Source organism: Homo sapiens, chromosome 4 (assembly GCF_000001405.40).
Source record: "Homo sapiens chromosome 4, GRCh38.p14 Primary Assembly".
Classification (NCBI taxonomy): domain Eukaryota; kingdom Metazoa; phylum Chordata; class Mammalia; order Primates; family Hominidae; genus Homo; species Homo sapiens.
Window position 1 is genome coordinate 183,303,026 of NC_000004.12, and position 18,474 is coordinate 183,321,499.

The 18,474-nt window shown below is 40.0% G+C and overlaps 2 protein-coding genes across 5 annotated transcripts in view; one reads left to right on the top strand and one right to left on the bottom strand.

Annotated features, from left to right (window-relative positions):
* WWC2 (WW and C2 domain containing 2) overlaps positions 1–17,752 on the top strand; it is a 221,521-nt gene extending 203,769 nt beyond the window's left edge. For all 4 annotated transcript variants that reach the window (NM_001410864.1, NM_024949.6, XM_024454225.2 and 1 more), the window contains 2 exons: positions 9,316–9,443; positions 12,638–17,752. In NM_001410864.1, coding sequence (NP_001397793.1) covers positions 9,316–9,443; positions 12,638–12,704 — 195 coding nt within the window. In that variant the 3' untranslated portion in view covers positions 12,705–17,752. The remainder of the gene's footprint in view (positions 1–9,315; positions 9,444–12,637) is intronic.
* CLDN22 (claudin 22) lies at positions 15,075–17,251 on the bottom strand. The gene has a single exon (NM_001111319.3). The coding sequence runs from the start codon at positions 17,191–17,193 to the stop codon at positions 16,531–16,533; it is 663 nt and encodes a 220-aa protein (NP_001104789.1). The 5' UTR covers positions 17,194–17,251; the 3' UTR covers positions 15,075–16,530.

Below are 18,474 nucleotides of genomic sequence, written 5' to 3' on the forward strand. Positions count from 1 at the left end.
ACTCCAGCCTGGGTGACAGAGCGAGACTCCATCTCAAAAAAAAAAAAAAAAAAAAGGATTTGTGTATCTGTCAGATGGAGATAACAACTGTTTTTGAGTATGTATTGGCAAGATTGATTTAAGACGAAACCACTCCCCCTCATTAAATGGATATGTATTATATAATGAAGTCTCCAACCATTTGATTTAATTAATTCCTTTTGTAAGACAGCGTTGCAAGTAACTTCTGCAAATATAGACAGTTGTCAGAAATAAACTGCTGGTTCAAAAATTGTATTGAGCACTTGAGCCTTTATGAATTATGTTAAACAGACTCATCCTTTGCCCTCCTGAAGCTTTTGGGCCCAGTGTAAACATCTCAGCCACCAAGGCAAACCTTGACCCATATCCTAAGTTAATAACTAGGCAGCCTCTTAGCATACCTACAAGAGGGAGTCAGTGCCTTGGGTGGAGGACAGCAAATGGGGAACAGAGTCATCGTGGCCCTTTTACCCCATGACGACAGTCCTCACCGTGAATTACATAACTTTCTAATATGAGTGTAGGAGGAGTAACAAGTAGCACATTCACAATTTAAGCCTTATTTTCTATTTCACCGTTTGTTTACATAGCTAAAGAATTGTCTTTCTATTTAATACTTAATGATAAATAAACATAAATTTGGATTTTATATCAGGGAAGCTTTATTCAGTATTTTACAATATTAGGTGTTTTTAAAACTCAAAGTACAGATTAACATTAGTTTTTCCCTGATAATGGAGTAATATAAACAGTTATATGAATACACTGATGTAGGCTTATTGTGGAGAGTTTTTTTAAACTATATAGTACATGCCTGCATTTATTTATCTCGAAATCTAGTATAGCCACATGTTCATTTACCAAGATTTTTAAATGTTAAATCCCACTTGAGTGAACATCGCAGCCTAGAAATAATTTAAATAGGTGATTGTAGAGGGTTTGTTAGATAATTAAGCTGTAGCTACTAAGTAGAATGTTATGAAATCATTAAAAGCTACAGGCTTCTGGTTTCTGGTCCAACATATAAGGAGTTTGAAGTCTTCAATCTAACAGCAAGTAAAAAAATTGAACAAAATGAAAAATCAATTCTTCTTAGATCAGTTAGAGAGGTGAGGTCATAGGGCAAACTACTGCCCCCAGAATTGGAGAGACAGGCAAGCAGAACAAAGAATCACAACTTACTGGAGTAAGAACCTATGAGCAGTGACCTCTGCAGGAACCGATACTGGGGTAAGAAAACCTAAACTGTAATTAACATACTGCTGGAGGCTCACTACAGAGAAGTCTGAGAGTTAAAAACTGCAGGAGTACCCAGTCATGAGAAGTCGGGGGCTCTCCACACTTTTGTTAGTTTTACTTCCAGGAGCTTGACTGGGTCCTCACGATGGATGTCGAAGAAAAATCTTGCCCTGATTCTGACAGAGGGAGGAAAAAAGTAGCCATTTGAAACACACAAAAGCATTCTGTTCTTTTCAGCAAGGCCTGCCCTCAGGAGAAACTATATTGTCAGAACTTAACTGACTTTGGTAAGGGAAATACTCAACTCTAGCCCCCTCTAGTCTTCCATGTGGAAGAAGGGGAGTACCCAACTCCAGCCCATCCTAGATATTCTGTTCCACCTAAGGAGGGGGAAAGACTGAGAAGCACTTGTGAAACTCGTAGCCCAGGAGCACAGGCCTACTAAAAGACTGAAACCTGTTCATAGAGCTATAGAACACTTGCCTTCTTTACCCCCATCTTACCACAAAACTAAAGGCTGTTTGCCAGAATATCTTTCACCTAGTATATTACGTCTGGGTTTGAACTAAAAATTATAAGGCCTACTAACAGGCAAAAAACAGAGTTTAAAGAGGCAAAACAAGCATCAGAACCAGACTCACACATGGCAGGGATGCTGGACTTATCAGACCAGGAATTTAAACTAACTGTGGTTAGTATGCCAAGGGCTATAAGGGAAGAAGGAGGCAATATGCCAGAACAGATGGACATCATAAGGAGAGAGGTGGAAATTCTAAGCAAGAATCAAAAAGAAGTCCTAGAGATCAAAAACACTGTAACAGACATGAAAAATAACTTTGATGGACTCACGGGCACACTGGACATGACTAAAGAAAGAATATCTGAACTCTTGAGGATATGTCAATAGAAACTTTCAAAACTGCATAGCAAAGAGAAAAGAGACTGGAGAAAAAAAAAGGAACAGAACATCCAAGAACTGTGGGACAACTACAGAAGATGTACAATGTGTTTAATAGGAATACCAGAAGAAAGACAAGGGAACAGAAGAAATATTTGAAGGAATAATGACTGAGACTTTCTCCAAATTAATGTCAAACATTAAACCACAGAGCCAGAAAACTCATAAAACACCAAGCAAAATAAATACACACACACACACAGAACATTACACCTAAGCATATCCAAACTGCAGAAAATTAAAAATTAAAAAATTTTGAAAGAAGCCAGAGGGGGAAAAAAGCTTCCTTACAGGAGAACAAAGACAAGTATTATATGTGACTCTTCCTGAGAAATCATACAAGCAAGAAGAGAGTGAGATGCAATAATTTAAATTGTTAAGAGGAAAAAGAAACCAACCTAGAATTCTGTACCCAAACACAAAATTATTCTTCAAAAGTGAAGGAGAATAAATATTTTTTCAGACAAACAAAAATTAAGGACATTTGTGCTCAGTGGACCTGCCTAGCAAGAAATGTTAAAAGTTCTTCAGAGAAAAGGAAAATGATATGTTAGCAACATGGATCTATGTAAACAAAGGAAGAGCATTGAAAAAGGAATAAACCAAGGTAAAATAAGAATTTTTCTTATTCTTAATCACATAAATAATTCTAAGTAATGATAGCAACAGTGTATTCAGTTACATACACGTGTGTGTATGCTTACGTATAAGTGAAATGAGTGGCAGCAATGATGCAAGGGACAAGAGGGAAGAATGAGGGATATTTTGTTATTATAAGGTACTTGTACTACTCATGATGTGGTATAATGTTATTTGGAAGTGGATTTGGATAGTATAATACAAACTCCAGAGCAACCACTAGAAAAAATAAGAGAGAAATATAAATGACATGCTAAGAAAGGAGAGAAAATTGACATTATATAAAGTCCTCAATTAAAGCCACAAAAGGCAGTGAAAGAGTAGAAGACAAACATAGGAACAAACAACAAGGGCAGCAAATAGAAAACAGTAACAAATTGGTAGATATTATTCCAGCTGTTTCATTAATCACTGTAAACATCAGTGGTCTGAATATACCAATTAAAAAACAGTTTGTCAGAGTTGATCAAAAAAGAACCAGCTGTATTTTGTATGTAGGAAGCCCACTTTAAACATAAAACACATATGGACTAAAAGTAGACAATGCTAATACTAATCAAACGAAAGTGGGAGTAGCTATATTAATTTCAGATGGAGCAGACTTCAGAGCAAGAAAAGTTATCCAGGATTTAAAAAAAAAGTATGACATAATGAATAATAAAGAGATTAATTATCCAAGAAGGGGTAACAATTTTTTTTTTTTGGAGATGGAGTCTCGCTCTGTCACCCAGGCTCCCAGGTTCAAGTGATTCTCTTACCTCAACCTCCTGAGTAGCTGGGATTATAGGCGCACGCCACCACACCCAGTTAATTTTTGTATTTTTAGTAGAGACGGGGTTTTGCCATGTTGGCCAGGCTGGTCTCGATCTCCTGACCTCTGGTGATCCGCCTGCCTTGGCCTCCCAAAGTGCTGGGATTACAGGCATGAGCCACTGTGCCCGACCAGGATAACAATTCTTAGACATCTATGTGACTAACAGCACCAACTATATATGAGGCAAAAAAAAAAAAAAAACTACAAGGAGAAGTGGATGAATTCATTATTATCCTCTGACAGAAATAAACAGACCCAGCAGGCAGAAAATCAGCAGACATAGTTGAACTCAACGGCACTATTACTTAACTGGATATAATTGACATCTATAGAGTACTTCATTTAATGACAACAGATGGCACACTCTGCTTAAGCTCAATTGGAACATTCACCAAGATATAGACCACAGTCCAGGCCATAAGATACATATTTACACTGTCTGTTTTTACCACAGTGGAATTAAACTAGAAATCAGTAACAAACGTAGCTGGAAAATTCCAAAATACTTGGAGATTAAACTGCACACTTCTAAATAACAGATGGGTCAAAGGAGAAATCTTAAGAAAAATTAAAAGATATTTTGAACTAAATGAAAAACAACTTAATCAAAATTTGTAGGATTTTGGAGGACAGCCACTGAGTCTGTCACAGTGCCTGGCCTCTACCAAACAATTAAGGAAAAAAACTTTATCAACTCTCTGCAATCTCTTTTGGAGAACAGAAGCAAAGAGAATTCTTCCCAACTTATTCTGTGAGGCCAGCATTATCCTAATAGCAAAACCAGGCAAAGACAAGGAAACTACAGCCCTATATCTCTTGTGAACATAGATGCAGAAATCTTTAACAAAATATTAGCAGATCATATCCAACTATATAGAAAAAGAATTATATACCATGACCAAGGGAGATTTATCCCAGGTGTGCAAGGCTGATTTAACATTCAAAATCAATTATTGTAGTGAATCACATCAACACCTGCTCATGCTAAAAATAACTCCCAGCAAACTAGGAATAAAAGGGACCTTAAAGAACATGTAGAAAACTCTACAACTAACATCATACTTAATGCTGAAAAACTAGAAGCTTTCCTGCTAAGACTAGGAACGGAGTAAAACTGTCCCTCTCACATCTTCTTTTCTGTATCACACTGTAAATCTTAGCTAATGCAATAAGAAAAGAAAAAAAGGTATCCCGCTTGGGAAGGACGTCAGCATTGTCTTTGTTTGTCTTTGTTTGCACATAAGATGGTTGTCCATGTAGGCAACCTGAAAGATTTGACCACAAACCTAACAAACAGAAACAACTCTGGGAACTAATAAGTGATTATAACAAGGTTGTAGGATATAAGGTTAATATACAAAAGTTAATCACTTTTCTATATACCAGCAATGCACTAGTGGAATTTGAAATTAAAAACAATGCCGTTTCCATTAGTATCCAAAAAGTGAAATACTTGTAAATCTTAACAAAATATGTATAAGGTCTATAGAGGAAAACTGCATAACTCTGATGAAAGAAAATGTAAAAGGAACTAAATAAATGGAAAAATATTCTATGTTTATGTATAGGAAGACTCAGTATTGTCAAGATGTTGGTACTTCTCAAATCAATCTATAGATTTAATGCAGTTCCACTCAAAATCCCATCAAGTTATTATGTAATAGTCAAACTGATTCTAAAGTTTATATGGAGAGGCATAAGACCCAGAATAGCCAACACAGTATTGAAGAAGAATAAAGTTGGAGGACTGACGCTACCTGACTTCAAGACTTACTGTAAAGCTATGGTAATCAAGGCAGTGTGGTATTGGTGAAAAAATAGACAAATCAGAACAGAGAGCCTAGAAATAGATTGACCCACTTAAATATACAGTCATCCTTCAACATCCTTGGTGGGGATTGGTTCCAGGACTCCCCATGGACACAGATGCTCAAGTCCTTTATATAATATGGTATAGTATTTGCATATAACCCACATCCTCCCATACACTTTAAATCATTTCCAGATAACTTATAACACCTGTTATAATTTAAATACTATGTAAATAATTGTTATGCTATATTTAATGACAGTAGTAATACAGTATAATGTAGTAATAATAATGTCATTAATGGAATAATGACAAGGAAAAACAATGTCAGTACAGTTGCAACCATCCATTTTTTTCCCAAATATTTTCTATTCATGGTTGGTTGAATCCATGGATGTGGATCCCACAGATACAGAGGGCTGACTATATTCAACTGACCTTTGACAGAGGAGCAAAGAAAATAAATCAAAAAAAGATCATCTTTTCAACAAATGATGCTGGAAGAACTGGACATTTATTCACATGCAAAAAAACATGAATCTGGATATAGACCCTTCTGCACCCTTCACAAAAATTAACTCAAAATGATCACAGACCTAAATGTAGAATGTAAACTATAAAACTCCTAGAAGTTACCCTAGGAGAAAATCTAGATGACCTTGGGTATGGCAGTGACTTTTCATATACAACACAACATCAGAGGCATGATCCATGAAAGAAATACCTGATAAGCTGGACTTCGTTATAATTTAAAACTTCTCTGTGAAAGACACTGTCAAGAAAAAGAGGAAACAAGCCACACGTTGGGAGAAATATTTGTAAAAGTTATGTCTGATAAAGGACTGTTATCTAAGTTACAAAAAACTCTTAAAACTCAACAATACAAAACAAACACCCAGTTTAAAAATCGGCAAAAGACCTGAACAGACACCTAACCAAAGCAGATGACAAATAAACACATGAAAAGATATTTAACATCGTATGTCAATAAGAAATTGCAGATTAAAGCAACAATGAGATACCTCTACACACCTGTTAGAGCGGCCAAGATGCAAAACACAGACAACACCAAATCCTGACAAGGATGTGGAGCAACAGGAACTCTCAGCCATTGCTGATAGAAATGCAAAATCATACAGGCACTTTAGAAGACAGTTGTAGATTTCTGATAAAATTAAGCAGATTCTTACATACAATTCAGCAGTTGTGCTCCTTGGTATGAGTTGAAAATTTACGTACACATGAAAACCTTTGCATGAATATTTACAGCAGCCTTATTCATAATAGCCAAAACTTGAAAGCAGTCAAGATGTCCTTCAGTAGGTGAATGGTTAAGTAAACTGGTATATCCAGACAATGGAATACTCTTCAGCACTAAAGAGAAATGAGCTATCTGTCAAGCCATGAAAAGACATGGAGGAAACTTAAATGCATACACCAAGTGAAAGATGCCGTTCTAAACAGGCAGTGTACTGCATCATCCAACTGTATGGCATTCTGGGAAAAAGAAAACTGCAGAGCCAGTGAAGAGATCAGTGGTTAGGGGGAAGAGAGGGAGGAATAGGCAGAGCACAGGGGAATTTTAAAGCAGTGAAACTCCTCTGTATGATATTGTAATGGTGGGTACATGTCATTATACTTTTGCCAAAACCCATTGAATGTACACCAAGAGTGAAGCTTGATATAAACTGTGGATTTGGGGTGATAATGAAGTGTCAATATAAGTTCACTGATTGTAACAAACGTACACTCTGGTGGAGGATGCTGATAGTGGGAGAGTTTATACATGAGTCGGGGCAGGGAGTCAATGAGAACTCTACTTTCCACCCCATTTTGCTATGAACCTAAAACTGCTCTAATAAATAGACTGTGTTTTTCAGTGTTATGTGACGAAGGTTTAACCTGAGAAAAAAACAATATATTGTTAATTTTTAATAATTATTAAACAATTTCTGTTCTTTGCTGTTGTTTTTCTCTGCCACTGGTCTTCACCTGTTTGTTTGTTTTGGTTTTTGAAACAGGGTCTTGCTCTGTCACGAAGGCTGTAGTGCAGCGGTGATCATAGCTCACTGCAGCCTTAAACTCCCAGGCTCAAGTGATCCTTTCACCTCAGCCTCCTGAGTAGTTGGGACCACAGGCACATGCCACCACACCTAGCTAATTTTTTTTTTTTTTTTTCATAGAGAGAGTGTCTCTCTATGTTGTCCAGGCTGGTCTCAAACTCCTGGCCTTGAGCAATCTTCCCACCTTGGCCTCCCAGCCTGGACTTCATCTGTTTTGTTCACAACTATAACCCTGCCTCCTAGTACAGAGCCTGGCATATTGTAAAAAAAAAAAAAAAAAAAGCAACAGTAATAGCTTCATTCTGAAATAGTATATTCAGTGATGTGTTGGGTACTGCTCTGAGTACTTTACATATATATGTACTCATTTAAACTTCACAACTTTGAAATAAGTACTTATTCCCAGTGTACAAATGGAGAAACTAAGACACCAGAAGGTCAAGCAACTTGCCCAGATTTACATCGCTAGTAAGTGGTAGAAATGGAATTTGACCCCAGGTTGTATGACCTGAATGTTTGCTCTTCACCAACTTATACCACCTTTCCTTAAAAGACAGTCCACAAATATTTATTGATTGGGTGAATGAATATGAGTGAAATAATGAAATGAAAAGACAACTTTTAATATAGTATCATTAGTACATTTTTATTTTAAAATGTGTCCATGCACAGTACCCAAATGTTCATTATTACTAACAGATGATAAATTGTAGTAAAGTCATACAGTGGAATACTATATAGCAGTGAGGAAAGTGAGTTACAACTACATATAACAGCGTGTATGATTCTCGTGAGCATAATGTTGAGCAAAAGAAGCCACACCCTAAAGAGTCTCTGTTTACTGTTCCATCTATACCAAGGACAAAAGAGGCACATTAGAAGTCAGAATGCTGGGAACCCTCGGGGCAGAGCGGGAAGGGCAGGAGTGTTCTCCCCTTCCTCCGGTGCTGGTTACATGGGTGTGTTCAATTTGTAAAAGTTTTTTGAGCTATACACGTATGTGTGCAGGTTTTTTTTTTTTTTTTTTTGAGACGGAGTCTCACTCTGTCGCCCAGGCTGGTGTTCAGTGGCGCGATCTCGGCTCACTGCAAGCTCCACCTCCCAGGTTCAAGCCATTCTGCCTCAGCTTCCTGAGTAGCTGGGACTACAGGTGCCCACCACCACACCCGGCTAATTTTTTTATATTTTTAGTAGAGACGGGGTTTCACCGTGTTAGCCAGGATGGTCTCGATCTCCTGACCTCGTGATCCGCCTGCCTCGGCCTCCCAAAGTGCTGGGATTACAGGAGTGAGCCACCGCACCCGGCATGTGCAGGTTTTTTGATTGGTAAATTCTACGTTAAATAAACAGCTTTTTAAATGACTAAGTTAGATAAAAAGGGTCAAAAAGATAAATAAGATGTTGAAAGTGTATTTGCCCAAAACATTCTTTAACTGTAGATATTTTTTGGAAACAGTGCTATGAGTAATTTTCCGTTTCATTTTTGAGAGTTCTTAGGTTTTCAGATGTAGTAAAATTGTCACATATTGCCTGTGTAATTAGATTTCTAAAATGTGATTAAAATGAACTTACCCCAAAATCAACATATGCACAGCATGAGTTGGTCATGTGGGTGTTGGCTCCTGATGGGTGATAAAAAGGACACCAGCCCACTGGCTGCCTTGCTTGCCCTCCTGACTTTAGTCCACAATCTTTGAAGCTTCATAGGATGTCTCCAGGGATTTCTAATCAGTGTTTTGTGTGTTTCTTACATTTTTATTCCCTTTTCCAGGCTGAACAGTCCAAAGAAGAGCAGAAGCAAGGTCTGAATGCAGAGAAGTTGATGAGGCAAGTCTCCAAGGACGTGTGTCGGCTCCGGGAGCAGAGCCAGAAGGTGCCTCGGCAGGTGCAGTCCTTCAGGTGAATAGCCCCATCCAGGACAGCTTTTGGGTTGCCCTCACGGGGTCTGATTGTGTAGGAATTCACCTCAGTGCAGTGAAAGTTAATATGAGGATCCGAGACAGAAGTCCTCTGTTCTCTACCTTGAATATATAATTTTCCATTTGCACCTGAGGTGATAAATGTGACTGGCAGAGTTAAAGGCTGATGAAAGCCTAACTCCCCACAAGAACCCAGGGTGTCCCCAGCTCTTAGTAGCTGTTAGCACATCTCACTGGGCTATCTTGACACAGGATACAAAGGTACAGAAAACTCAGACATCTTTGGGATTTTGTTCGCTCATTTTACAGACATTCCTTGGGCAGCCCCAGAAACCTTACACCTTGTCAGGCTCTGAGATGTGGAGGCTAAGAACATGTGCATTCGTTCTGCTCTTCTGGGGGGCTCTAGGCTGTGGCAGGGATAGGCGGGTAACCAGGTCATTGCAGTGCATGTGGAAGGAGCTAACTAAAGGGATAGGTAGGGACCTGTGAGAGATGTGGGAGGAGCCTCAGTCAGTATGGGGCAGGTGCTGGGGCTGCGGGCACCAGCAGAGGAGATTATAAGAGAACCCATCATGGAAGGATGGCTGCAAGCTCCTTAGGCACCTAGGGGTGGCAGTTTTGAGTGGGACATTGAGGCGGGAAGAACAGCATGGACAGAGGCACAGACCTTAGAAGTCAGTGCCAAGCTCTGGCGCATGGGGAGTTGCCAGCTGGTGAGCCTGCCCAGGAGAACTGGGCTCAAGTTGCACAGGCCTTGGAAGCTGTGCAGAAGGCTTCCACCCGTGGTCTCTGACGGGCGGCCAGCAGGGCTCTCCGTGCACAAAACCAAATGATGGGGATGGGTTTTATGTAGGGCAGATATCAGAGGCATTGTGGAGAGTGGGCTGGGGAGAAGCGGGTAAGGGTGGCCAGTTAGGTTCATGGGAGGTTTGTGGGGGGCAGTGGCTGCCCTGTGGTGCCAGCGCTCGAGATGGAGAATGCTGGGGAGCAGGGGTGTGGGGAGGATGCTGACCTCTGCCATGGCACACCAGGCAATGCCAGCAGGCTAGTGAGATAACCATGACCAGTAGACAAGTGGAAATAAAAATCTAAAGCCAGGGTTAGGGGTCAGGATGGAGATTAAAAAATGGGAGTGCTCATCTTCAATGCATTGGTCTCATCTGTGGAAATGGGCCAGACATCCCAGAAAATGTGAGGTGACTGGGAAAGGAGGCTGGTGGGCACCAATCACTGAAGGGCTCGCCCCAAAAGAGATGCTAGAAAGAATGGCTGGAGAGGTCAGAGGAGAACCAGGAGCCTGGGGCAAGAGGGTGGGAAGAGGAGATTGATGGAGAGAACTGAAAAGTACATCCGGGATCCCTGGTGAGCACACTAGATGGTTTCAGCCCCGACGGAGGGAGCTCAGCAAAAAGGTTTGTTCCTATTGCGTTTTTATTTGGTTTTGGTTGAGGTTTTGTATAGACGAGTCTTTGGAAAGTGTTTAGGCATAAAGGGGAGAAGCCCAGAAGAAGCGAGTGTTTTTGAAGTGTGGGGAAGCTAGGTCACGTGGTGGAGCAGGGACAGCTATGGCAGGCTGAGGTCTGGTACCAAGCGGGAGGGCAGGGCCACGGACCGTGTGGCAGCAGCAGTGTGCCTTAGTGGGCTCACAGCTCTTTCATTTTTCTGCAACACCCTGCAGTAGAGAGGTTTTTCCACCCTCTTTTCTGCTAAAGAATCACATTTGTGACTTTCAGGGACTACCACTACTTGGGTTTTAGAACTGCAGGTGAGGGGAGCCCATCCATGTCCCTGGTGCTGTGGTCACTTAGAGAATAAGCAGCATTGTCTAGCGTGGAAAGTCACACAACTCGCAGTTGTTGCCGAAACCTGAAGCAAAGAATCCACGAACATTCCCAGCTTCCCTTAAGATACGAAGCATATTATATCACCAGGGAAGTGACGAGAATGATGAGATGGACCAGGGTGAGACAGAACATGCTGGAAGCGTGGGATTTGCACGGCTACCGTTGCCTGGCCTGGGGTGGTGAGATCAGGCAGCGGTGGGGCCTGGGCCGTTCTGCCCGGCACCACCCCAGCTGCTTGTTTCACCTGGAATCAGGAGCCCGATGGTCCCTGGCCTTCTAATTTTTCAAGAGAAGTTAGAAATCAACAGTTTTCTGTGAAATATCTCAAATGCAGGTGCCGGCAACTACTTCAGGTATTTTTAAACACCCCAGTTAGCAGCTGCGCCTTAAGGCCTCCGCTGACATCACACCTACACTCGTGGCATTTTTTGTTCTTGTTTTCCTCTTATGAATTGAACAAATTTAAAGGACACTGTTCACAGCAGTAGCTCGTTCCAGTGTCCATAGTGTTCTCACTCCTCCTTTTCTTCTCTATCCTTTCTTAGTCTTCAGAACATCCCCACCTCAGCTCTGGTTTCTAACCCGCACCTCCTCCCCCATCTGGACTGTTCTTTCGCAAGGGAGAACCAGTGCTTGATTCTTCAGCTACCAGCATGCCCCTTGCATGTAATATGCCCTCAAGAAATACGTGCTGACGGCATAAATGCCATGTACAGTGTGAAGTTCTGTAGGGAAATAGACGCACTGTTTGTCTTTTTTTTAAGCACTCTCCTCACCTGAAAACCGCTCTGCCCTGTCTCAGCCTCTCCGCTGCTTCGGGACCAGGGCAGTTACTACCTTGCAGATAGTTCCTCCTTCTCCTTTCATTTGCGTCGTGGTGTCGCTCATCAGGTTGTCCCTGCCCCGGCATGGTATCGATGTAAAGACTTTTCCTGTTATTGTGTGCTTTTCTGTGAGGTTACTGAGAAGTTTCCAGGTAGGATTTTGGGCCTTTTGAGTCTTCTGCTACCTAGTTCGGAAACACCCATCCTAGACCAAACCCCTACTAGTTTAAAAACTGTCTTCTGTTGGAAGTTCCCTGAAGGGAACTTACGGGCTTGGTCTGTAGGTGACTTCCGTGATCCAGAGCTGCTGTTCTCCTTGATACCCCCCCTTTAAGCAGGCAGAGGCTCTCCTGATTTTAAATGGAGTTCTGCGTAAGGAAAAGAGCTTCTACCTGTGCTTGCAGAGACATCACTGCCACTGCAGGTCTTGGGGACTGTTTTAATGGTCCCAGAGTATTTTTAGCATCATATATAAGTCAATTTATTTCTCACCCCAACTCTAGGGAGAAGATTGCCTACTTCACCAGAGCAAAGATAAGCATCCCATCCCTGCCAGCTGATGATGTGTGATTACATGACTTAAGAAATTATTTTTTCATCTGTTCACTTTCTTAGGGAGGGTAAAAGACTGAAGATTTGTGTTTTTGTTTTGGTGTTTGGTTTTTTTTGGTAACGTAACTGTCAACTCTTGAAGAACTTTTATTTCACATCAGATTTTCAACACATTAATTTGTAAAGTACCTTGAGTGTAATTTTTATATGCTTAAAAAAGAAAAAATCATATAAGAAAGATGGGATAACCTGGTACACAAATGTTGCCCAGTATGTGCGCATTGCCAGTGGACTTCATTTTGTAAAAATGGAATAGAGGCAGTACCCCACATGTGTACTGTTGAGCCGGCTGTTGAGAAACAACTTGGTTCAGCCGGTGGTTTTGCTTCTCCTTTGTGTTCCTGTGAGTAGGCTGTGCCGATGGCAGCAGCGCCACGTGGTATCTGTGCGCTGGCGAGGAGAGGAGCGCTTTCCATTTGGAGGCAGTGTGAGCACACGCTGGAGTGCAGCGTTCCAAAGTCCGCCCGAAATGGATGCTGCGTCCACGGCCATCACCTGTGCGGGAACACCTGGTTTCCTTAAGACAATTTCCTTTTTGTCCTTTTATATTTTTCTAAAGAAAACTAAGATATAAACTACCAAGTGCTCTTAAGAATAAAAATAAGAATAAGAATACAAAGGAGCACTACTCTTGGCTACACGAAAGATCTTGGGATTCATGACACTGAGGGCAGGGAGAAGAAAGAACACCAGCCACGCAGAGATACAAATAAGCTCATCAAATGAGCAGCTGGTTTGTCTCACTCAGCCTGAATTTGCATTAAGTGTTCAAAAGTGAGTTTCTGGCTTGCACTAGTGTTTTGCCCTAAATCTAAGGATGGTGCCTAGTGGTGGCCCTGTGTTCTGAGGACAGAGAGAGCTGGAGGGGTGGAGGGAAATGCATCGGCACTCATTTGGTGTAACCAAGAAGAGGGGGAAAGATGTCTTGATAGAATCAAAGTTGCCAAAAACAAAGAAGAGTTTATCAAGCAGATTTCTAACATTTAGTAGAAACTACTTCATAGCTCTCATTTTTAGGGGGTTCTATCTATAATTTATGGTAAATAGTTGGGAGGCAAAGGGAAGAATGTGTGTGGGGGGATTATTAATTTGAAGTATAAGCTAAATTGTTTATTAAAAAGCCTATTTTGGATGAACAAGTTTAGAGAGATAAACTGACTAATGTGTCCTCCAGTTTAGAATTTCACCTTACCCGACCCAGGCACTTCTTAAAAACACAGATCCTCAGTGCAGCTCTGCCAGCATCAAGGCTTTTAAAATATGTAGTATTTAGGCCATTTAAACCATACTTATTACTCAATAACCCAAGAAACAATTTTGGGTTAGCCATCTAATATAGCAAATAAAATAGATTTTTTAAAGAAATCCAAAATTGTCTTAAAGGAATGGACCCCTTGAAGAAAAAAAAAAAAAGTTTTGTTCCTCAGTTAGAATGCTCACTAGCTCACTAGCAAGAATTTTTATTTTCTTGAAAGCAATTATATATATTTTGGAAAGTTCATGTTATTGGAATTGAAGTTCAAATTAAGCAACTTCTGAGCCTAGAACTTTAATTACTTTTTCCTAAATGTCCCAACACTTACATACAAATTTCTTTGAAGACATAACTGGACATGGCAGACACTGCTTTGAACAAAAACCAGCCTAGTGAATTGACTGAGTACAGTCCTTTAAGGCTGCCCAGTTCATTCTATTAGATGACTAAGGAAAACTAGAAAAAGAATACAGTTCACCCTTGTCAAGGTCAAATGTGAAAGACAGAAGTTTATTTAATGTAGAGGTAAATGAAGGTGAGCTGTTTTCAGCATCTTAGTTTGACCATGAAAATGTCTATAGAATTATGTGTAGTTGTTCCGTACGATTTTATTTTCTTCATTTATTTATTTACAGTCTTATTTATGTTCTGTTTAATATATAGTTTGATTCTGGCCATTTTAAATATTTGACACAGAAGAGACTATATTGGAATATTTACAGCTTTATAAGTCTTTCATCAGATTAGCTGTTGACTTTTTGTAATACAAAAAGTTTCAGACAAGTATTAAAGAATAAAATCTGTCTCAGGCTGGTAGTTAGCAGTTGTGACCAAGATGCTTTTGGTTGTTGTATTTCACAAAATTTCCTCATTTCTAACATGAGAGATGAACTTATTTTAATATAATCCTTTTTCTACACTTTAAAAGTCAGCAATAGTGTTATGTATTTATAGGCAGCTTTTAATAATCTTGTCATATTTGTACTAACCCAAATGATTCACAGTGACAAAACATTTTAATAACTTGATCACAAAACCATATGGACAAATATGAATTTTAATATTATAAATACTATTTTTAAAAGGTAGAATTTATTCGCACAGGGTAAAAAGAATGTAATATTTAGTTCTCAAGTTTGAATTATCAGTATATTATTACAATTTTGTATATCAGAATCTTAAGTGTTACAGGTACAAAAAGAATATTGCTAGCCAAATGAACAAAGTTTAGCTAAATCTCTGTAGCATGCAAATCAAATAAATTAAAATTTTTTGCTATTGCTTTATCTATATTGTCTTAAATATCAAAAGCTCAGGACTGAACTTAATATTTAATCAGGTTAAATTCTGAACATGTTTCTGTTTTAATTTGTCTTGTTTGTAAACGTATGCAAATACATCACATAGATTAACTGGTTTCTGCACTTTCCATGTGTTTGTGGGTGGAAAAAAATTCAGTGGTTTTTTTTAAAAAAAAAAGCAAAAACAAAGCTACATATTGCCTAATACTCTATTTCAGTGTCGTTTATTGTTCAGTTTATTTCCCTGATTGGCACAAACACAAGAGTTTCCTTGAACCATGTACCAAGCAAATACAAAATATTTCATGAAGAAATCCCCAGGCTGGCAGTTTGTGATGAATAGTTCTTGTTGGAACTATATGTATTGCTGATAAAAAAGGACGAAGTATTTTCATTGAGCAAATAAAATGAAGGGCTCCAGAATATGTGCTCTGTGGTCGCTGCGCCTGGGCTGGCAGTGTGCTCCACAGAGAGGCAGCCGTCCCAGGAGGTTATCTACCCACACACCCCAGTCCTGCCCTGCCGTGCCCCCCACAGGCTGCTCAGTGCCTGGGAAGCCAGAAACGCTGCCCGTGAAATACAGAACACAGGATGCAGAAGCACGTTTGTGTGGCAGAGTCTACTTGAATCATCCAAAACCCAAGATCGCCCTCCTGCCTCTGACAGTATAGAAGGCGTGACTGAATGTGGCTGCCTTTTGAAAAAGGTTCCATAGAGACACTGAGGTCTCTGATTCAGAAGGAGATGATGTGTCTACACCTTTCACCTCTGAAGCTTCTAAAGAGCTAGTAATTATTTTATATAATAAGACGTCATGCATTTTAAATAAATATGCAACAAGACCTCAGGCTTATTATACTAGGTTATCTTAAACACCTGAAATAAGTAAATGATTTGCCAAATGATTCCGCTCCATATGAATAATACCTTCAAAGATACATAGAGATTAATGTTTTATTTACCACTTCTGTGCAATCGCTATTTTAAAATTGAGAAAACTCATCCACAGTAATGGGTGTCATTACTATTCAGTCTTGATTGATTTTGGTCTCAGACTAGAAGATAAAAATGGTTTACCAGTCTTGGAAAGAAACTATAGTTTAATAGCCACAGGAAAAGATGCATTTTCAAAAATCAAAAGCACAGTGAGATGACTAGAGCGGGACATCCTACCAAATCCAGTGTTGAGCAAGCGTCTCCTGAACAGCAGACGCTTGTCCTTTCTGGCTTAGTGTTTCAGGTTGGTGTTTCTCGTCTCCAGTTCTTGATGATGATCTTGTGTTTGTGCCACTGCGTAGTGGCCCGAAGCTAGGGGAGCGTGGCTGGAGCAGGCTGCACAGTGGAGCAGACACCCTCCTAGCAGAAGAGAAAGTCCAGCAAACCAGCCCAGAAACAGGGCCTCCCCAAACTCCCACCTGGGGACAAAGTCTGGGACGTTCTCATCCCAGAACTCCTGAACCGTCTTGTGGGCAACCCAAGAGACGGGAACCAGGGCTGTGACTCCCGAGGCCCAGGACAGAATTCCTCCCAGGATCAGCAGTCGCCTCTTGAGATCTCTCTGACTCTCTCCAATTCTCAAACAGTCCAGGCCAAACCCAGAGACCAGCAGGCCCAGAAATCCCAGCCCATTTGACAGAAACATTAAGATCCTGGAGACCCTGAGTTCAGCAGGCAAAGCCAGGAAGGAGTCAAAGTCCTTGCATTGCATCCCCACTTCCTCTTGGATGACACAGGTTTGCCAGAGTCCCATGGTCCAGTTTTCCATTTCATTTAAGTCCAGGTTGAGGTTCTTCCAGTGTGGCAGGTAGTTTGTAAGACAGGATAAAACCCATCCCAGCAAAGATAATGAAACTCCAGCTAGTTGAGCTACAGTTCTAAATACTAAAGCCATTATAATGTCCTGAGAGCTTTAGCCAAACTAACTCCTGCCCTTCGGTTGCTGTGAAAAGAAGTGTGACACTTGTGTTATAACTTATGAAACTCAGAAATATTTCTTCATTGTGTATATAGGAGGATTCTTGCCAGAGTTGCTATTGTTTGATTCCATGTTGAATGGGTTTCACAAAAGGATAGGGAAATAATGCCGCCAACCAGTAATGCCAAGGTGTGGCCAAGATTGTGTTTGTGTCCTGTGGGCTGGATTTGACAGAAAGCAGTTTGTCACTGAAATATAATTAAGTGATAATCTCCTTTCATTGTCAAGGTTAAAATGGCTTTCATGTTATTCCCAACCTTTCTAACAAAGAATTAAGTCTAAATGCAAAATGTTTAACTGATGGTTTTGGTTCAACTCCTCCTGCTTTGTGTTTCACTAACTGCACCTGTCAGATTTTCATCTCTTATAGTTCTCACATTTCAAATGTGCATGTTATGGTAATACTGAGTGTTATTTTTTAAAAATAGGTTTAAGAAAAGTATTTCTTAACCAAATAAATCAATCTTATCAGAAATCTCTCTACACCTTAACTCACTCCTGCGTTTCAGAAATTCCTCAGGCTACATATACCACATGGCATATGAAGCAATACTGAACTACAGATCTAGTTTATTTATCTGCATGCCTTTCTGTCAAATTCACGCTTGTGTGCATAAACACTTTTTTTTCTTATATATGCTTTCTGTGCCGAGGAAAGTTCAGCATTTGGACTCTGCAGGTTGGAGTCAGCATTTCTGTTTATTCACCACTAAAGTAGATATCCCCATGTTAGCGATTTTTCATTGAACAAAGGAAAGGTTTTATTCAAATGACCTGACAATATCAGGATATCAAGAAAAATGTCTTTGGAATTGTTTTTCTTTTTTTAATACGAAGGTTTTGAGGGAAAGGATGAGAGAAGAGATTGGCCACCATTTTAAATCTGAGAGGATCACAAGGTACTGAAAACTCTTCAGCCTCATAAAATCTTGCCGCACTGAGTGCCTGGTAATATCCTAAAAACAAACCACTTCTGTTCAAAGAAGAAAAAGGTCATTGTTGTGGAAATAACACTTTGAGGTTGGCTTAGCATGTGGTTTTGCTAAAGTAGAACACTTAAAATTTTCAGATTGTTAGTTTTTTTCTTTAGGAAACAGAAACTAAAGATCATTTCTGACTACCAACAGCAACAACAAAAAAAAGAAAAACAGAAAAAAGCTTTCTAATATGAAATTTACACATTAAAGCTTGAAACTG

Bases quoted from the DNA above. Each gene is read 5' to 3' on its own strand.
- CLDN22 (NM_001111319.3), bottom strand. From the start codon at position 17,193: ATGGCTTTAGTATTTAGAACTGTAGCTCAACTAGCTGGAGTTTCATTA.